At 43.7% G+C, this 21,659-nt stretch overlaps 1 protein-coding gene and 2 pseudogenes across 1 annotated transcript, besides 2 other annotated features; all 3 read right to left on the minus strand.

Moving 5' to 3' along the window:
* Positions 1-1,819: 1,819 nt before the first annotated feature.
* On the minus strand, positions 1,820-5,630 carry KLF18 (KLF transcription factor 18). Its single transcript, NM_001358438.1, has 2 exons — positions 2,663-5,630; positions 1,820-2,010 (listed from the first exon to the last, which is right to left on the minus strand). Exons 1-2 carry the CDS (start codon positions 5,628-5,630, stop codon positions 1,820-1,822), a joined length of 3,159 nt encoding a protein of 1,052 aa, NP_001345367.1.
* On the minus strand, positions 14,785-15,844 carry LOC100419796 (zinc finger protein 146 pseudogene; annotated as a pseudogene).
* Positions 15,500-15,579: an enhancer, noted in NCBI's record as "active region_935". NCBI's record gives its function as "activates an Ori minimal core promoter by ATAC-STARR-seq in GM12878 lymphoblastoid cells {active_cell/tissue: GM12878}" and the evidence as "EXISTENCE:reporter gene assay evidence [ECO:0000049][PMID:35858748]".
* Positions 15,590-15,669: an enhancer, noted in NCBI's record as "active region_936". NCBI's record gives its function as "activates an Ori minimal core promoter by ATAC-STARR-seq in GM12878 lymphoblastoid cells {active_cell/tissue: GM12878}" and the evidence as "EXISTENCE:reporter gene assay evidence [ECO:0000049][PMID:35858748]".
* Positions 19,027-19,300, minus strand: OOSP1P1 (oocyte secreted protein 1 pseudogene 1; annotated as a pseudogene).

Genomic DNA, 21,659 nt, shown 5'->3' on the forward strand with positions numbered 1-21,659 from the left:
ATGAACAGCTGTATGATCTTTTCTTTTTATAGTTGTTGTACTTCATGTAAGACTCTAGCGCACTCTCAGATTTCTTTGGTCTCTCACTCCCCCACGCCCACCCTGCTGTGTTGACAATGTAGAGAAGTTTTGTTTGGGGTTGTTATGGATTCTTTTTATTGGCCTTAGTAATAACATGGATGAAATCTTAGAGATAATGTGTTGAAAACAAGGGAGTTTCAGAAGAAACTTAGTATAAGTTATATAGCTTAGTATAATATTTATGAAGCTCAAAACAAAAAAACCCTGCAAATTATCTTTGAATACATGCATTTTTGATAAATGTATCAAGGGATTTATATATACAAAATGCAGGGTAGTCATCAATTCTAGAAGATAGACAGAAGGATGGGTAGGGGAGCTCACCAGACTTGGCACATAGCCGGGGCATTGCAGTTTTCTGAAAGGAGCTATAGTCAAGGACTTGGCATCCCCACTGTAAAGCAGGTTCACTGTGCACTGGTTATCAGCTTGTCTGAGTCCAGTGAGATCCAATGACACCCATACACACAACAAGTTAAATAAAATAGGTTTATTACAGGCAGCAAGGGACAACAATCTAGGATTCACTGGGAGTGAGTCCCCCAAGGCTCAGGAAAGCTGCCCAGCGGGGATGGAGTCTTAACTGCATGTATCCCACTTGTACCACAGCTGAAGGACCCCAGAAAGCAGCCAGTGCACAGTTTTATACCCTGGGTTTATGTGGATGGTTGAAGGACGATGGTGCTTCCATGCAGAGGCCTCCTTATTTGGGGTCTTGGCTAAGGCTATCTCCCCCATCTGCTCTGCAGCAGTCAGTAAATAAGGCTTGATCATTCCTTTCCATCTGGCTCATTGTTCCGATTGGCCATATCAACCCCTGATTGCATGACACTGGGTGATGAGCTCTTACAGGTGCTCATTTTTTCTACTTATAACTTAAATATCTTATTCAATATATTTCATATATAATATTACACAATATCTTTTTTTTTTTTTTGAGACAGGATCTCGCTATGTCGCCCAGACTGGAGTGAAGTGGTGTGAATATAGCTCACTGCAACTCCAACTACTGAGCTCAAGTGATCCTCCCAGCTCAGCCTCCCAAGTAGCTGGGACTACAGGCATGCACCACCACACCCGGCTAATTTTTGTATTTTTTTTTTGTAGAGACAGAGTTTCGCCACGTTGCCCAGGCTAGTCTAGAACTCCCAGGCTCAAGCAATCTGCCCACCTTGGCCTCCCAAAGTGCTAGGATTACAGGCGTGAGCCACCACACCTGCCTGAGGTTGAACCTTTGAATAGGCTAAGTACTCTTCTAAGCAAAGTCCATTTAACCTGAGACCACTTTACACTGGACGTGACTGAGCGTCCCCTCCTTTTCACCTCATAGGAATGAAGCTCCAAAGAAACATGGACTCAGCTACAGACAAAAAATGTTTCATTCTTTACCCTCTGAGCTATACACATATCAATCTCAATCACCTACATAGATACGTTTTAAAAGTACACATACAGGTAAATACAGAGTAAGATCTAGAAGGATTCACAGCATGCTGATAAAAGCCGTTACCCTGAGAGAGGGGAATGAATGAAGAGGGCTTCTGGTTTCAAGTTGAAAGTCATCCAGTTTTTACATGAAAATGCATACCTACTTTTTTTGTATATTTTAGAAAACTTATGAATAATATTAAGCACCTACTAGCTACTGGCATAGGGAAATAGGGGAGCTTGTTCAAGGGAAACAACCTCAATAGGGAGAATCTTTTAGCTGTACACATTTCCACATGGGCTGAAGGGTTCATAATCCTGGGCGAATGTTGTGGACCTTTGCATGCTGCTTTAGGTGATCAGATCTTGCAAAATTCTTGCTGCATATTGAACACAGGTAGGGCCTTTCCCCAGTGTGCCTTTTCTTGTGTCTGTTGAGCTCATCTGAGCGGGCAAATTTCCACGTACATCCCTCTACATCGCATACATAGGGCTTCTCCCCTGGACCAGACAGAGAGAGAGAGACCTGTCATACATCAGGGTGAGGTAGGGCAGGGACATTTAAAGTGAACAAGAAAACGTTTTTGAACAAGTTGGAGTGGGAGAGGGAGAGCCAGAAGAGACGGGAGTGGTGGAGGTGAGTGAAGGAGGAGGGGAATGAGGGCCGCAAAAGCTGGAGAGACAAGAGGAAAACTGTGAAGAAGGGAAGAAGAGGAAAGGAAGAAGAAAAAAAACAAACAGGAGGAGAGACAGTTATTGGCAGGCAAGTTAGTGGGGGGAATAAGGAGGATGAGGGAAGTGGGGCCTGGGGGCCCTGTCACTACGAAGTGACGGTCCCAGTAGAAATAGCATCAAGAACATCTACCTGCAAGAGGCCAAAGAAATCCCTCCACTTATTCCCATCAAACCAGCAGTCAACACCACTAAAGGCTATAGCCAGCCTGGCTCTGGTCCAGGACTAGAGCCTGTCCCTGGTCCAGGACTAGAGCCTGTCCCTAGGACTGCTTTATCTACCCTTCTGAAGGTGCCAACCTTTTCTATTATAGAATTTTTTGAATCCCTGGCTTAAAGGAAGTGGCAGCAATCTCAAATGCTTCCGGGCACAAATCTGTAGCCACTTGCCCCTCACCCCTGTTTCTGGGCCCTCACTCACCGGTGTGCTTGCGCATGTGGGTTCGGAGGTGGCAAGCCTTTGAATAAGACATCTTGCAGTCCTCGTAAGTGCAGACATAGGGCCTTGAAACCTCAGGATTCTTCCAGAACTGGCAGCTCTGTGTCTTCTGTTTTGGGAGTTGTCCTTGAATCAAATGGGAACTTGAAAAGCATAGGAATCCTGGGTATGGCAATGATGAGAACTGATGGGACATCATATATCCCCCATAAAGGCTGTGGTCATCAGTGAGCGTTGTCATATTGCCCACCTGAAGAGTCAGCATCTGGTCCCCATAGAGGGTCTGGTTGCCACTATATGTTGCCATCTGGCCTCCATAGAGGGCCTGGTTATCAGTGGAGGTCATATTCTGCCCCCCGTAGAGGTTCTGGTTACCAGTGGAGGTCATCATCTGCCCCCCATAGAGGGCCTGGTTACCAGTGGAGGTCGTCACCTGCTCCCCACAGAGGGTCTGGTTACTAGTGGAGGTCGTCATCTGCTCTCCACAGAGGGTCTGGTTACTAGTGGAGGTCGTGATCTGCCCCCTGTAGAGGGCCTGGTTACCAGTGGAGGTCGTCACCTGCTCCCCACAGAGGGTCTGGTTACTAGTGGGGGTCGTCATCTGCTCTCCACAGAGGGTCTGGTTACTAGTAGAGGTCGTCATCTGCCCCCCGTAGAGGGCCTGGTTACCAGTGGAGGTTGTCATCTGCTCTCCACAGAGGTTCTGGTTACCAGTGGAGGTCATCATCTGCCCCCAGTAGAGGGTCTGGTTACCAGTGGAGGTCATCATCTGCCCCCCATAGAGGGCCTGGTTACCAGTGGAGGTCGTCACCTGCTCCCCACAGAGGGTCTGGTTACTAGTGGAGGTCGTCGTCTGCTCTCCACAGAGGGTCTGGTTACTAGTGGAGGTCGTCATCTGCCCCCCGTAGAGGGCCTGGTTACCAGTGGAGGTTGTCATCTGCTCTCCACAGAGGGCCTGGTTACCAGTGGAGGTCATCACCTGCTCCTCACAGAGGGTCTGGTTACTAGTGGAGGTTGTCATCTGCTCTCCACAGAGGGTCTGGTTACTAGCAGAGGTTGTCATCTGCCCCCCGTAGAGGGCCTGGTTACCAGTGGAGGTCATCATCTGCCCCCCATAGAGGGCCTGGTTACCAGTGGAGGTCGTCACCTGCTCCCCACAAAGGGTCTGGTTACTAGTGGAGGTCGTCATCTGCTCTCCACAGAGGGTCTGGTTACTAGTGGAGGTCGTGATCTGCCCCCCGTAGAGGGCCTGGTTACCAGTGGAGGTCGTCACCTGCTCCCCACAGAGGGTCTGGTTACTAGTGGGGGTCGTCATCTGCTCTCCACAGAGGGTCTGGTTACTAGTAGAGGTTGTCATCTGCCCCCCGTAGAGGGCCTGGTTACCAGTGGAGGTTGTCATCTGCTCTCCACAGAGGTTCTGGTTACCAGTGGAGGTCATCATCTGCCCCCAGTAGAGGGTCTGGTTACCAGTGGAGGTCATCATCTGCCCCCCGTAGAGGGCCTGGTTACCAGTGGAGGTCGTCACCTGCTCCCCACAGAGGGTCTGGTTACTAGTGGAGGTCGTCGTCTGCTCTCCACAGAGGGTCTGGTTACTAGTGGAGGTCATCACTTGCTCTCCACAGAGGTTCTGGTTACCAGTGGAGGTCGTCATCTGCCCTCCACAGAGGGCTTGGTTACCAGTGGAGGTCATCACTTGCTCTCCACAGAGGTTCTGGTTACCAGTGGAGGTCATCATCTGCCCCCAGTAGAGGGTCTGGTTACCAGTGGAGGTCATCATCTGCCCCCCATAGAGGTTCTGGTTACCAGTGGAGGTCGTCATCTGCCCTCCACAGAGGGCTTGGTTACCAGTGGAGGTCATCACTTGCTCTCCACAGAGGTTCTGGTTACCAGTGGAGGTCATCATCTGCCCCCAGTAGAGGGTCTGGTTACCAGTGGAGGTCATCATCTGCCCCCCATAGAGGTTCTGGTTACCAGTGGAGGTCGTCATCTGCCCTCCACAGAGGGCTTGGTTACCAGTGGAGGTCATCACTTGCTCCCCACAGAGGGTCTGGTTACTAGTGGAGGTTGTCATCTGCTCTCCACAGAGGGTCTGGTTACTAGCGGAGGTCGTCATCTGCCCCCCATAGAGGGCCTGGTTACCAGTGGAGGTTGTCATCTGCTCTCCACAGAGGGTCTGGTTACCAGTGGAGGTCGTCATCTGTCTCCCGTAGAAGGCCTGGTTACCACTGGAGGTCGTCATCTGCTCCCCACAGAGGGTCTGGTTATCAATGGAAGTCATCATTTGCCCTCCATAGAGGTCTAGACTGGTTGTCATTTGGCCCCCAGAGAGGGTCTCATCGCTACCGGAAGTCACTGTATGACCATCAGTGAGGGTCTGGTCACTACTGAAGGTCACCTGGTCCCCACAGAGAGTCTGGTTATCACTGAGGGTCTTCATCTGATCTCCAAGCAGGGCTGGTATCTGACTCTCATTGAGGGTCTGGTCACTGCTTGGGGTGTTCAGCTGGCTACTTTCATTGGAGATTGTCATGTTGCTTGCAGTGATGGTTGTCTTCTGGCAATCAGTGGGTGATGACTTTGGGGTGACAGTAACATCTGTCATCTGGGAGCCTGCTGTGTGTTTTACCTGATCAAAGGAAGTCACTTTCTGGCCCATGGAATAAGTCTCACTTAGGTCTTCAAGGGCTTTAAGAGGGTGCATTGTTAAGTCCTGGGTGAGAACTGTCCCAGGGATGTTAGTGCATGCAGAAGTCATCATTGTGGACCCCAAGGGAGGCATCGTCTTGCTCTGGGTTGACTCATGTTGGCTCTCCTCAGCATGGGCAGTCAGAGGCATACAGTTCTGTGGTTCTGGTGCATCTGGGGTTTCTGCCTGTTCTGTATGCCGCTCAGAGAGATGCTGGAAAAATTTCTCAATTTCCTCAATTGCCTGGAGAAGACTGGAATCCATCTCTTTGATGTTGCCTGATGACTGAACTAGATCTTTAGTTATGGGATCCTGCAAAAAAATTGATAGGTCAGGGGTTCATCCCAGCTCAAATTCCAATCCCCACATACCCTCCTTCTCCATCCCTGTTGACCCTATCCTAATCCAGCCCACCATCATCTCTTGCCTAGAAGCCTGTAGTTGCCTTTCAACTGACTCTGGAGTTAACTTCATCCAGTGTCCCCTCCACACACAGAGTAACATTTTAAAAGTGCAAACATTTCTCAAGTGCAAACTTTTACTAAGCTACTCCTATCTACCAATGGAGATGAGAGTCTAGATGGATGTTGTGAATCTCCTATCATCCTCTGAAGAGATCTCACCCCAGAGGCTTTTCCAAAGTCTCCTCTCCAGACATCTTACCGGAGATTCAGCTGATTAAATTTTCAAATAAATTATCTCATTTCATTTCCACCATGACCCCAGAAAATAAGGGTCATAATTAATCCCATTTTAAGGAAAATAGAAGTCCAGGGAGGTAAATTGACTTGGCCCAGGTGGAAGACTCTTAATTTGTACTGGACCTATCTGGCTGTGGGTCCTTACAGTCCCCTAGATAAATGGGATATTTCTCCCAGAGATCTCACTGGGGGCACCCACTGATTCTAGCCTCCTGAGAACCATCCTGGAAACCACCAGCTTCTAGGAACCATTCTACTATGGACTGAATGTTTGTGTTTCTCCAAATTTCATATGCTAAAACTGAATTTCCAGTGTGATTGTATTAGAAGGTAGCGCCTTTGGGAGATGATTAGGTCATGGAGACAGAACCTTCAAGAATGAGATGAGTGTTCTTCTAAGGGGCTGAGGGTCAGAGTTCTTTACTTCTACCAAGTGAGGACACAGCTAAAAGGTGCCATCTATGAATCAGAAAGTATGCCCTTACCAGACACCGAATCTACCAGCTCCTGGACAGAACAGACTAAGATACATTCCAAGAAGCAGTTTCTTTGGAGACAGAGGCGTAACTGTGCATATGGACAAGGTTTATATTTCTGTTCAAAGTGGCCATCCATATGCTTCTAGGCTTCCTTTGTCTCTGGTATCAAGTGTATGTATGTATGTATGTATGTACTTATTTATTTATTTATTTATTATTTTCTCTTTTTTCTCTGCCCCATATGATCTGCAAGAAAAGTGTCAAGTTTATAATGAGCTCCCCAAAGCCACCATCTGGGTAGCCTCACATCTTTTTCATCCCCTGTGCCTCTTCCCTGCTTTTGTCCTACTCTAGCCAGATCAGTCTACTCAGTTTTGCCATGTTCCTATCCAATCCATTGCTCAGTCTGCCTTATCCAGCCAAATTATCTTATCTAATACGTTCTCCTTTCCCATCTCTGCCATCAAAGTCTGGTCCCTCCTGCCTTGTCCTGACTCTCAGAATAGAGAAATACCATAATTCCCCCAGGCTGTATTCAAAATGTGTGACAGGACTGTCATTGAATATGGTGGACTGAGGAGACCCTGAAGTCCTTCCCTTCTATACCAAATCATAGAAATGATAGATGGCTTTAAATATATAGAAATATATATATATATATAATATATGTACATATATTACATATATTTAAAGAAAAATTTTAAAACCCAAAGAATATACATATATAACATATATCTATTTATGATTGGAAATAAGTGGAATTTCCCAAGAACTAGAAGGAGGTACCCTTAAAAGAAGGGAGATAATTGAAGCCACAGTGGAAGCAGAAGCCACTTTCACTTGGAGGTCTGGGCTGATGCCACTTCTTGTGGTGACACCCTACCAAGAGGAGCTCTCAAAACCTAGGAATTCTTTTTATTTTTATTTTCAGAGATGGATTCTCTCCAAGTTACCCCGGCTGGATTTGAACTACTGGGCTCAAGCGATCTTCCTGTCTCAGACTCCCTAGTACGTGGGACTACAGGTGCTTGCCACCACATCCACCTCTAAATCCATAATAGAAATCCATAATAGAAGTAAAACTGGAAGGCTGCGCATGGTGACTCACACCTGTAATCCCAGCACTTTGGGAGGCCGAGGTGGGTGGATCATGAGGCCAGGAGTTCAAGACCAGCCTGGCCAAGATGGGAAACCCTGTCCCTACTAAAATTACAAAAATTAGCTGGGCTTGGTGGTGAGCACCTGTAATCCCAGCTACTCGGGAGGCTGAGGCAGGAGAATCGCTTGAACCTGGGAGGTGGACTCCAGCCTGGGCGACCGAGTGAGATGCCATCTCAAAAAAAAAAAAAAGAAGTAAAACTGGAAAGTTCACAAATTTGTGGAAATGAAAGAATATACTCTTAAGCAAACAATGGATCAAAGAAGAAATCACAAGAGAAGTTATAATGAACACAAAAACACAATAGACCAAAATTTATGGGATGTAGTAAAAGCAATGCTAGAATAGAAGCTATAAACACTTACATTTAAAAAAACAAGAAATAGCTCAAATCAGTAACCTAACTTTACAATTTACGGAACTAGAAAAAGAACTAAACTTAAAGTTTGCAGAAGGAAGAAAATGATAAAGATTAGAACAGGCCAGGCACAGTGGGTCAGGCCTGTCATCCCAGCATGTTGGAAGGCCAAGGTGGGAGGATCCCTTCACCCAGGAGTTCTAGACTAACCTGGGCAATATAGTGAGATCCAGCTCCTACAAATTTTTTTTTTTTTTAATTAGCTGAGTGTGGTGGCACATACCTGTAGTCCCAGCTACTTGGAATGATGAGGCAGGAGGATCACGTGAGCCCAGGAGTCGGAGGCTACAGTGAGCTGTTATTGTGCCACTGCACTCCAGCCTGGGTGACAAAGCAAGACCCCACCTGTAAAAAAACAAAACAAAAAAGAATAGAGCAGAGATAAATGAAATGGAAATTTTAAAAAATACAGAAAAATTAATGAAACAAAAAATCGATCTTTGAAAAGATCAGCAAAATTGACAAACCTTTAAGCTAGATGGACTAAGAAAAAGAGACTCAAATTACTAAAATCAGAAAGAAAAGTGGGGACATTACTACTACTTCTACACCAATAGAAAGGATTTTAAGACAGGACTATGGACAGTTTGTACACCAACAAATTGGATAACCTAGATAAAATGAAGAAATTCATAGAAACACAAAACCTATCAAGACTGAATCAGGAAGAAAGAAAATCTGAAGAGACCTATAACTAATGAGACTGAATCAGTAATCATTATCTCCTAACGAAAAAAAAGCTGTGGACCTGATAGTTTCACTGGTCAATTCTACCAAATTTTAAAGAACTAATATCAATCCTTCAAACTTCTACAAAATATTGAAGAGGAGAGAATACTTCCTAACTTACTCTACGAGCCCAGCATATACCCAATGTCAAAGCCAGATGTGATGCTACAAGAAAAGAAAACTACGGACTCATATCCCTTAAGAACATTGATGCAAAAATCCCAAAAAAGTACTGGTAAACCCAATTCATCAGCATATTACAAGGATTATACAACAAGACCAAATGGGATTTACTCCCAGAATGCAAGGATGGTTCAACATATGAAAATCTATTTTCAATATATTTATTGAAGAAAATATAGTTATAAGTGGACCTATGCAGTTCAAACCTGTGTTGTTCAAGGGTCAAATGTATATACAAACAATGGAATATATAACTGAATATCCAGCCTTAAAATGGAAGGATAGTCTGACACATGCTACAACATGGATGAACTTTGAGGACATTATGCTAAGTGAAATAATCCAGCCACAAAAAAGTGACTCACATAAAAAGTCATGTGATTCCACTTATATGAAGTACCTAAGAGTAATCAAAATCAGAGACAGACAGATGGTTGGGGGGAAAAGGGGGAGGGGGAATGAGGAGTTAACTGTTTAACTGGTACAGTTTCACTTTTATAAGATGAAAGAGTTCTGGAGATGGATGGTGGTGATGGTTGCATAATACTATGACTGTATCTAAATACCACCACTGATCTGTAAACTTAAAAATGACTAAGATGGTAATTTTATATTACATATATTTGAAGATCATACAAATAACTGAGAAAAATTCAAAAAAAAAATTCCAAACAGGAAATCTTTGAAATGATGTCCTCTGAGATTAAAATCAATCTCTAGCTATCACAGCACCTCTAGCTCTAGGTACTCAGAGGCTGTGGGACGAGGTTCCCTTGAGCCCAGCAGTTTGAAGCCAGCTTGGGCAACATAGCAAGAACCCCCTCCTCTCTAAAAAATAAATACATAAAATTAAACTTTAAAAATCAATCTCTAATAGCATCTTACTCTTACACTTAGTTTCCCACCATTTCTACTCATGTAAAAGCTTAACTCCTGTCTACCCCCTCTCCCCACCACTGGACTAGAAGCTCCTCTGAGCAGACAGAACTCTATTTCGTTCTGAGCAAGGCCTGATGGATCCCACTGGGAACCTTAGAAAACAGGAACCCAGTGAGGGACTGATTCCCACTCCACCTGCTCTAGGTCTGCTTCTGGTCCCTAAAGTTTCTGGCCCTTGGAAAAACAGAAGGATTTCAACCCCAGTTTAAGGAATTATTAAAACGATAGTCCCGGCTGGGTGCAATGGCTCAGGTCTGTAATCCTAGCACTTTGGGAGGCCAAGGCAGGCAGATCACTTGAGGTCAGGAGTTTGAGACCAGCCTGGCCAAAATAGTGAAACTCTGCCTCTACTAAAATTCCAAAAAAGAAAAAAAAAATAGTCAGGAATGGTAGTGCACATCTGTAGTCCCAGCTACTTGGGAGGCTGAGGCATGAGAATTGCCTGAACCTGGGAGGCGGAGGTTGCAGTGTGTGGAGATCGTGCCAATGCACTCCAGCCTGGGCGACAGAGCAAGACTCTGTCAAAAAAACAAACAAACAAACAAACAAAAAATCCAAACCAAACCAAAACAAACAATAAACCCTGATAGTTCCAACCACGGGCTATGCCTCCTTCTCTTGATCTCTAATAATTCAACCCAACCCACCCAGGCCCCTCTGACTCATGGGCCTAGCGTTCCTTGTATACTTCCATGAGACTTCGACCAGACCACGATCTCGTCCTGGGCTCCTGCCAACATGATAGAAAGACCTTCGGGTGCCATCGAGAGACCCCCAGGATCACAACCACAGCCTTCTCTGCAGGCCCCGCGTCTGTCTGATGAAAGGGTCTGTCTGATGAAAGGCATGCCCTGCGGAGGGCAGGCTCGTGGAAGTAAAAATGGTCCTCAATAAATGAACCGTTTCAGACACTTCTCTGTCCTCCCCTATTAGCGGGCTCCCTTGCTAGGATTCTGGACGCCTACATCTTTGAATTTCTGACCTACCACTCCATGACACCGACCTTCGCCCTTTCATTTGGAGATAGACTTACCAGAAATTGATCCATATGGCAGGCCGGGCACTTTGCTACTTGCAGACGGAGAGGAACACACTCTGAAACTTCTGGGCGCCTTCTGGGGCCTGGGCTTTTATACAGCCTGGCTCGGATGCACCCAGGTCACTGCTTTGCGTCTTTGGTCGGCCACACCCCTCGGGGCGGAGCCCCAGCGACCTACCTACCGCCTGTATAGGCAGAGTGATTGAGTTACCTACCAGAGGCCTCTGGACATTAATGCAATCACTTCCCCTGTTCTCATTGTGCAGGGAAGCAATTGGCATTAATTAGCGAATTTTACCCTCACCAGTATTAGGAGGTGGATTTTATCATTGTTATCATGTAAAGCGAAAACTGAGACTCAGAGATATTAAGTATTTGCAGGTCACAGAATCAAACACTGATAGTAGATTTGAACTCAAACGGTTTTGCTCTTATGATCTGAGTCCTTAAACACACTAGAGGCATCAGATTCAATCAGCTGTTCACTTATGCAGACTCCACCTCTTTGGCAGCTGTAAACTTAATCAAATTACTTCTACTGTGAAATCCTGATAATTCCATCAGTTTACCCTGGAAACTTAATGGCTTTTTTTTCCTGTGGTTTTGACTTATTTACTTATTTATTATTTATTTATTTATTTTATCTTGCATAATTATCTTGATAATTCCATCAGGTTACCCTAGAAATGATCGTGGTACTTTTTTCTCTTTCTTTCTTCCTTCTTTCCTTTTTTCCTTCCTTCCTTCCTTCCTCTTTCTTTCTTTTTCTTTCTCTCTCTCTTTCTTTTTGGCTGTGGTTTTTACTTACTATTTTTAATTTTTTTGCCACCTATTTATTTTTGAGACAGCGTCTTACTCTGTTCCTCAAGCTGGAGTGTAGTGGTGCAATCATGGCTCACTGTGGCTAATTTTTAAATTCTTTGTAGAGACGGAGTCTCATCATGTTGCCCAGGCTGCTTTCAAACTCCTGGACTCGAGCGGTCCTCCCACCTCAGCCTCCTAAAGTGCAAAGATTACAGGCATGAGCCACCATGCCCGGCCTTCATTTTGAATGTAAAAAAAAAAAAACCAGATAATTTCATTTTACATACATAGCACGTTCATCCACTCATTGTTGATAAAATTTTAGAAATATTTGCTATACAAATTTAGTATTTGATTGGGAATGAATTTTTGTTTTGTTTTGTTTTGTTTTGTTTTGAGATGGAGTCTCGCTCTGTCGCCCAGGCTGGAGTGCAGTGGTACGATCTCAGCTCACTGCAACCTCAGCTTCCCAGGCTTAAGTGATTCTCCTGCCTCAGCCTGCCGAGTAGCTGGGATTACAGGCTTACGCTGCCACGCCCGGCTAACTTTTTATATTTTAGTAGAGACAGGGTTTCACTGTGTTGCCCAAGCTGGTCTCGAACTCCTGAGCTCAGGCAATCCACCAGCCTTGGCCTCTCAAAGTGCTGGAATTACATGTGTGAGCCACTGCGCCTGGCCGGGAATGAATATTACAGCATGATTTCTACAGGTACAGAGTTCCCATCCTCACCCTCATTCCTACCAATTCTGAGAAATTTTAAAAACATGGAAAAGTATAAAAAATAAGACTAGAGATCCATATACCACAGTACAGAATTAATCAGTATCTTCCTCTATTTACTTGTAGTCTTTTTTTTTTTTTTGACACGGAGTCTCGCTCTGTCGCCCAGGCTGGAGTGCAGTGGCATGATCTCGGCTCACTACTTGCAGTCTTTTTAAAGAAAAGATGTTTAGATACAAAGCTGAAGTCTCACACTCACTCTCTTCCCTTCTTCACTCTTTACAGGTGACCACTAGCAAGTATTGGGCTATATTCTTCCAAACCATTTCAGAAACATTTACGTACATACATGTATAGTATGTGTATAGTACTGAATTTTGTGAGGGAAATTTTAATTCAAATTTACAAAAAGTGGCTGAACATGGTGGCTCATGCCTATTACCTCACCCTTTGAGAGGCTGAGATGGGAGAATTGCTTGAGTCCAGGAGTTCCAGACCAGCCTGGGTAATGTAGCAAGACCCCGTCTCTATTTAAAAATAAATTAAAAATTAGGTCGAGTGCAGTGGCTCACGCCTGTAATCCCAGCCCTTTGGGAGGCCGAGGCGGGTGAATCACTTGAGGCCAGGAGTTGGAGACCAGCCTGGCCAACATGATGAAACACTGTCTGTACCAAAAAATACACAAAAAATTAGCTGGGCGTGGTGGCACGCACCTGTAGTCCCAGCTACTCAGGAGGCTGAGGTGGGAGAATCGCTTGAACCTGGGAGGTGGAGGTTGCAGCGAGCCGAGATCACGCCACAGCACTCCAGCCTGGGCGACAAAGTGAAATCCTGTCTCAAAAATAATTAATTAATTAAACAAATAAATAACACAAAACAGCAACACATTTACAGAAAGTCATTGTACTATATGCATCATTCTGCAACTTGATATTACCCCCCTCAACATGATTCTGAGATCTTCCTGTTAATACATGTGAATCTCAGGTGTTGCACTTACAGACATATATTATTCCATCATAAGGATTTCTTCTTTTTGATGTTTCCAATTTTTGGCTACTACAAATCAAACCATAGTAAATATCCTAGTACATATTTCCTGAGCATACACATTCAAAAGTAGAATTGCTAAGTATTTCTGAAGTTGTTACAAGGAATGTTTCCCTACTCCCAAAGTCATATAATTTTAATACATAGCTTTTTCAATGCCTGCTTTTCATCTCTGTGGATTTTACTTTTGTGTATGGTTCATGGTCTATTTTTCCCTACTTGGAGAACAGATTACCTCCAAACCATTTTTAAAAATCGTCCCATATTTCCTCCTATCCTGATTCACTTCTATCGTATTCCAAATTCAAATAATGCATAGGTCTCTTTCTGAAATCTGTTCTGCTCTGTTCAGTCAACACCACAAGAGTCTTATGTATTTATAGATGATCATATCTAATTTTGTGTCTTCCTTTCCAATGCTTACAACTTACTGCACTGGTGAAGATCTCCAGATCAATGCTGACAGCAATGCTAACAGGCATCTGTTTTCTGTTCCCAATTTTAGTGGAAATGTGTCTAAAGTTTCAGCATTGCCTTTGCTGTGGGTTTCTTTGTTGGACCCAGGCTTTTTTTGTTTTGTTTTATTTTGTTTTTGAGATGGAGTCTCTGTCGCCTAGGCTAGAGTGCAGTGGTGCCATCTTGGCTCACTGCAACCTCTGTCTCACGGGTTCTTGTGATTCTCCTGCCTCAGCCTCCCAAGCAGCTGGGATTACAGGCACCCGCTACCACACCCAGCTAATTTTTGTATTTTTGGTAGAGACAGGGCTCGCCATTTTGGCCAGGCTGATCTTGTACTCCTGACCTCAGGTGATCTGCCTGCCTCAGCCTCCCAAAGTGCTGGGATTATAGGCATGAGTCACTGCACCTGGCCAGACTCAGGCTTTTTATCATATGAATACCCTTCTCTTCAGAAGGACATTGAATTTTCTGATGTCCCACAAGTTACATACATAAAGTATCTGTTAAAATTTACCTTATTTGTGGTGCTTTGCTGCAAAATGATTATTTCTGATGCATTATGAGGTGTACATTCCTGATAAAAGCACTCCCATTTTCAAGGTTTTTATTAATTTTTTTTGTAGAGGCGGAGTCTCCCTGTGTTACCCAGGCTTGTCTCGAACTCCTGGGCTCAAGTGATCCTCCTGCCTCAGCCTTTAACGGTGTTGGGATTACAGGCGTGAGCCGTCATGTCCTGCTGGAGTTTTTAAACGAGTATGACTTTTCTGGAGTCTGATGTGGTGTGACTTCTGGCTGAAAGCTTCCCACATTCACCATACTGATAAAGCTTCCTACCTGTGTGTATTCTTACATACAGAGCAAGAGTTGAGAATTGGGAGAAAGCTTCCCCACAGCCATGGAAACCATAGGGCTGCTCACCTGCGGGGCTGCTCACACACACAGTAAGCAATGAACTGAGACAAGGCTTTTCCACAGTGAGTTCATAGGGTTGATCATCTGAAATCTCACATCTACAATAAGTGGTATTTGCTGACAGAAGATGTTTCCACATTCCTTACACTCATAGGATTTCTCTCCAGTATGGTTTCTTATGAGGTACTTCTTCTTCTGGCCAATAGCTGTTCCACATTCACTACATTTAAAGGGTTTCTCTCCAATATGAAATTTCTCTTGCTCAGTAAGGTTTGATTTTCCACTAAAGGTTTTTCCACACTCCTTATACACAAAGGGTTTCTCTTCTGTGTGCATTCTCTGGTACTGGATGAAGTTTGACTTCTGAATGAGAACTTTCCCACAGTCTTTACTCTCAAAAGGTCTCTCTTCAGTGCGAATTTTCTGACTGGTAGGGAGACTTTCCTTCTGGCAAAAGGATTTTCCACATTTGTTATATTCACAAAGCTTCTCTGTGGTTATGAGCGTTCAGATGGTTAATGACATACTGCTTTTAGTAAAGGCTTTTCCACATTCATTACATTCAAAGGGTTTCTCTCTAGTGTGAAAATGCTCATGCTCGGTGAAACTGACACGCGGCTGAAGACTTTCTCACATACCATGCAGGCAGAGGGGCTTTCCCCACATAAACCCTCTGCTGACTGAGAGGGATATCTAAACAAAAGCTTTCCTGCATTCACGAGGTTTCTCTCCAGTGTATATATTTTTTTTTTTGAGCAAGGATTTACTTTTGGCTGAAGATATTTCCACATTTCTTACATTTATAAGGTTTATCTGTGTAAGACCTTTCAAATGCAGAGTAAGGAATAAGGTGTGAGAGAAAATGTTCTCATATGTAGTACATTCAAAGCTTCCTCTGCAGTATAAATTGAATATTAATTCAATGACGTTTTTGCTGCTTTCACTGGCTTCTCTCCAGCATGAATTTTCTGCTGCTTTATGAGATTGGTAATCTAGCTAAAGGCTTTTCAGTATTCCTTAGAGGCACAGGGTTTCTCTTCAGTGTGACTTCTATATTCCATGAGATGGCATGTGAGTAAGTTTCCCCACATTTGGTAACTTCATAGTTTCTCTTCATTATGAATGCTCTGGTCTCAGATAGGGTACAAACTTTTTTACCCCATCAGAAGTAAAATGCCTTTTTAAACTGAAGACATTTTCACACTGATGTATGCTTAAAGGAGGTTAATATCATAAGGAGTAAACTGTGGTGGAGGGGTTCCAAATTAATTAAATGAATGATTCTTTCCTACACAACATCCCTCGTGATTAAGTCCAAACTGTGTTTCAAACTCAAAACTTCAAAAGTATATTTCCTTAAAAGAAATAAGGTCTGAGATCAGAGGAGGGAGCTTTCCACTTTTCTTTTTTTTGTTTTTATTTTTTTTGAGACAGGGTCTTGCTCTGTGGTGGAGTGCAGCGGCTTGATCTTGGCTCACTGCAGCCTGGACCTCAGGGGCTCAAGCAATCGTCTCACTTCAGTCCCCAGAGTAGCTGGGGCTACTGGCACACTCCACCACATCTGGCTAATTTTTAAATTTTTTTGTAGAGCTGGAGGTCTCACTATGTTGCCAAGGCTAGTTTTGACCTCCTGGGCTTATGCGCTCCTCTTGTTTCCGCCTTCTAAAGTGTTGGGATTACAGGCATGAGCCACCATGCCCAGCCTGCCTCCTAAGTCTTGTTGCCTCTCCATCTGCTAATCATGTTTTCAGGCTTCTGGATAGATTTCTTTTTGACTTCTTGCTCCACCATCCAGTTTGTCTTCTTGCTTCAGTAGGGGATCATATAACCTACTATTGGGGAAATGACACAGCACTCCAATGTTAATGCTAGGGCTGAAGTACCATCCTAGAGCTCAAGATGAGCCCTGGGGCCACCCTGCCTTCTCCAGGATGAAGATGACACAGTTTCCAAGTTTGCACAAGGAAGCAGCCCTATTGGGCAATTCCACTAGTAGCAATAGATTTTAGAGATACTCCTACTTTTTTTAAAAAATTAATTAATTATTTTTTGATTCTTTTTTAAAATTATACTTTAAGAAGTTCTAGGGTGCATGTGCACAACGTGCAGGTTTGTTACATATGTATACATGTATACATGTGCCATGTTGTATACATATGGCATATGTATACATGTGCCGTGTTGGTGTGCTGCACCCATTAATTCGTCATTTACATTGGGTATATCTCCTAATGCTATCCCTCCCCACTCCCCACCCCACCACAGGCCTCGGTGTGTGATGTTCCCCATCCTGTGTCCAAGTGTTCTCATTGTTCAATTCCCACCTATGAGTGGAGATACTCCTACTTTTACACCACATGGACCCAGGGGCCATACTGACCCTGCCAATAAAGATCAAAGTGTCTACCCATAATGGCATTTTTTTAAAAGCCAGCCAAATTTCGCAGTGGGGGGTTGTATACCAACTTTAGCAACACTAATGTTGATAAGTTCTGATAACCCACTACCATTGGGCCAGCCATGATAATGGTATTTTTTGATGTCCATTTCCTCCCTGTCCCCAGGTCCAGAGACTATTCTACCCTAGCAGGACCCGACACACACTTGGAGTCACGCAAGTGACTTCTGACTTCATTCCGACTCCACTCTAAGTCTCTGTTGGGTCCTCATCACTTCTGGCTCATCCATCACCAACAAGCCCTGGGCTTTACCAATTTTTAGAACAAACAGTCCCGCCCAAGGCCACCCCTCCTGGCCCAGGGTTCTATAAGAAAATTTTTCACCAACGTCCCCTGGAGAGTGAGGAGTTTAAAAAATGGTCCATGGTATGAGTCCATGATTTTACCACTGTGAGAAATAAACATGCAATATATCATTTTAACAGATCCAAGACTGGATTTTGTTTAAATAAAAAGGCCAAATTAATCACCTAAATTATTTAGAATTGCTTATGAGTCTTATAGTTTATTACTATTTACACTATTTTAAAGAATCCTAAATGTAAACATGGATATACAATTAAGTTGAATCCTAATTTAAATAACCAATGTTTTATAAATTCTGTTCTTGTAAATCTGAGACAAAACTGAAACTTATGTGAATCTGTGCAGCTATTCCATCTGCACTAACTGGGGAACATTTTTATTTGTTTAGTTTTTAGAGACATGGTCTTGCTATGTCACCTAATATTCTTGGCCTCAAGCTATGTACCGGTCTCTGCCTCTCAAAGTAATGGGATTATAGGCCTGAGCCACTGGGCCCCGCCCACCTGAATAGTTTTAAGGGGTCATATTTCACTGTCAGATTCTTAAGATTAACAGTGATTGCATCATTCTTTAATGATAATTTGATTATGTTATCCAAAATGAACTGACTTAAGGATCTTGGACTCATACAACATTGAAATAATTAGTAATCACTGTTTACCTGGAAGCCTTCAAAGAAATTAAAATTCGGGGAAGAGAAGTAAATAAAATTCATAATAGCCATAGACTGTTCAAATGAATTTTAATCTGAATATATATTTTAATAATTTGAGCTTTATTCATAAATAAGACTCCATAAAGTTAAAAGCAGGACCAGTTCCTGTTTTAAAAAGGGAATATATAAATGCAACATGCCATTTTATTTATAATTGCAAATTAGGTTATTTTAGATGGATGAGAATTGAGATATCATTAAATCCCATTCCTGCCTCTCAGATCCCACAAAATAATAGAGCACCAAGTCCTCAGATCTAAGCAATCATAGCAGATTCCAAATGGCCTCTGAATATTGGCGGGAACAGCCCAGTTTCTTCTCTTGCAATAAAGGTGCTTCATTTGGTAAACAAGGGAACACGGCATTCAGATTCCTACATGATTATGTCATAGAAGTAACTTCCATGTCTTCATTCGCAGTGTGTATTCTCACCTTTATTTCCCATTCAGTAACACTGCCAGTTTCATCATCTTTCCTTTCAACTTTATTTACGAGACGATGCTGATTGCAGACAGCATATAACAGAGGCATTTCAAATCAAACAGTAGAGTTACTTGAGATATACTCGATTTTAGTTTTAAGCTGAATAACTTCCTGGAGAGTTTTAGTTACAATACCACAGTAATGATGATGGTAGAAAAATTTACAATAAACATTTGGCAAAATGTTAGGTTACAAGGCAGTCATCACCTAAAAACACTTCATCAGGTGGCATACACGAATTGTGAAATATCGTGGATTTAAGCCTGGCATAGAACCAAAACTGGGTGGGTTGGACTTGAACAGCTGCTCAATCCCCAGCACAGGTCGATATCAAGGAGTGAACCAGAAAGAGTCCTTTTAACCCCAGGAAAGTCTTCATTTGCCGAGATTGGAAACTGAATCTTACTCAGAAAACAGTTACGGGCCGTACAGTGACTCACGTCTGTAATCCCAGCACTTTGGGAGGCAGACACAGATGAATCATTTAAGGTCAGGAGTTTGAGACCAGCCTGGCCAACATGGTGAAACCCTGTCTCTACTAAAAATACAAAAATTAGCTGGGCGTGGTGGCACATACCTGTAATCCCTGCTACTCCAGAGGCTGAGGCAAGAGAATCGCTTGAACCCAGGAGGCGGAGGTTGCAGTGAGCCCAGATTGGACCACTGCATTCCAGCCCGGGCAACAGAGCAAGACTCTATCTCAAAAAAAAAAAAAAAGAAAAGAAAAGAAAAGAGAAAAAAAAAGAAAACAGTTATGTATTTTTGACTATGTATTTGTTCTTTATGATGTTCAAATTAAGATAATAAAGCCAAGTCTTAAAATCATTGCTCCAAAATAGTACCTTTGGGCTGGGGGCGGTGGCTCACGCCTGTAATCCCAGCACTTTGGGAGGCCGAGACAAATAGATCATCTGAGGTCAGGAGTTCAAGACCAGCCTGGTCAACATGGTGAAACTCCGCCTCTACTAAAAATACAAAAAAATTAGCTGGGTGTGGTGGCACACTCCTGTAGTCCCAGCTACTCTGGCAGCTGAGACAGGAGAATCGCTTGAACCTGATAGTGCCACTGCACTCCAGCTGGGGAAGACAGAGAGAGACTCCATCTCAAAAAACAAAACAAAACAACACAAAACAAAACAAAACACGAAATAGCACCTTTGCATTAACTTTAGCGTTTGTAAGCACCACCTGGAGAATCTATTAAAATACAGATTTGTGGGCCTGGCCAGCTGGGCACAGTGGCTCACGCCTATAATTATAGCACTCTGGGAGGCCAAGGCGGGTGGATAACCTGAGGTCAGGAGTTTGAGACCAGCTTGGCCAACATAGTGAAACTCCGTCTCTACTAAAAATACAAAAATTAGCCAGGCACGGTGGCTGCATGCCTGTAGTCCCAGCTACTTGGGAGGCTGAGGCAGGAGACTCACTTGAACCCGGGAGGTGGAGGTTGCAATGAGCCAAGATCACGCCACATTCCAGCCTGGGCGACAAAGCAAGACTCCATCTCAAAAAAAAAAAAAAGCTTTCAACAAATAATCATTTAAGCATGTTGTTTGGTGTGACTATATAAATGTGTAGATGTACACACTTATCTACCAATGCATAATAAAATTATTGAATATAAGGAATGTATAAAAGAGATACTGGTAGCTCAGAGAAAAAGGAATTGGGCTCTGGGTATATGATCTGTCTTCAAAATTCTGTACAAAAATATTCTTTATTTTTCATCTCTTAAGACAGGGATCTCACTCTGTCACCCAGGCTGGAGTGCAGTGGTGCAATCATAGCTCACTGCAGCCCGGAACTCCTGGGCTCTAGAGATCCTCCCACCTCAGCCCTCAGAGTAGCTGGGACTACAGGCATGCACCACCATGCCCGACTAATTTTTGTTTTTTTGTTTTTTTTTGGTAGAGATGAGGTTTTGCCATGTTGCCCAGGCTGGTCTCGAAGTCCTGGGCTCAAGCTCTCTGCTGGCCTTGGCCTCTCAAAGTGCTAGGATTACAGGCGTGAACCACTAACCCTGGCTCCGCTAATTTTTAAAATAATGTTTTTAGGTTGGGAATGATTGCTTGTGGGTGGAGTCAGTGGAGGGAAACTATGGTCAGGCACAGTGTGGCTAATCCCTGTAATCCCAGTGCTTTGGGAGGCTTCGGCAGAAGGATTGCTTGAGGCCAATCAAAGTTGGAGACCAGCCTGGGCAACAGAGTGAGGTCCTGTCTTTAAATAATAATAGCTATATATATATTTTTTTATTTTATTTTATTTTATTTTTAAACTGAGTCTCGCTCTGCAGCCAGGCTGGAGTGCAGTGGCACGATCTTGGCTCACTGCAACCTCGGCCTCCCAGGTTCAAGTAATTCTCCTGCCTCAGCCTCCCGAGTAGCTGGGACTACAGGTGCATGCCACCATGCCCAGCTAATTTTTGTATTTATAGTAGAGATGGGGTTTCACCATGTTGGCCAGGATGGTCTGAAACTCTTGACCTCATGATCCGCCTGCCTTGGCCTCCCAAAGTGCTGGGATTACAGGCGTGAACCACCGTGCCTGGCCTAATAGCAGTAAATTTAAAAAGCAAATTAAATCAATAATAATTTTCTAAGGACATGGCCTCACTCTGTTGCCCAGTCTGATCTGGAGCTCCTGGCCTGGAGATCTACAGCCTCAGCATCTTGAGTAGCTGAGATTACACGCATGAGCCACCACAGGCTTTTATCCCTTCTTCCTGTGCTGTCTCATG

The sequence above is a fragment of the Homo sapiens genome, chromosome 1 (assembly GCF_000001405.40).
Source record: "Homo sapiens chromosome 1, GRCh38.p14 Primary Assembly".
Classification (NCBI taxonomy): domain Eukaryota; kingdom Metazoa; phylum Chordata; class Mammalia; order Primates; family Hominidae; genus Homo; species Homo sapiens.

What these genes read in the sequence shown, in the direction of transcription:
- KLF18 (NM_001358438.1), bottom strand. Translation starts at nt 5,630, where the DNA reads ATGGATTCCAGTCTTCTCCAGGCAATTGAGGAAATTGAGAAATTTTTC. An exon ending in CCACATGCGCAAGCACACCG is followed by an intron (nt 2,011 to 2,662) that starts GTGAGTGAGGGC and finishes TGTCTGGTCCAG; the next exon opens with GGGAGAAGCCCTATGTATGC.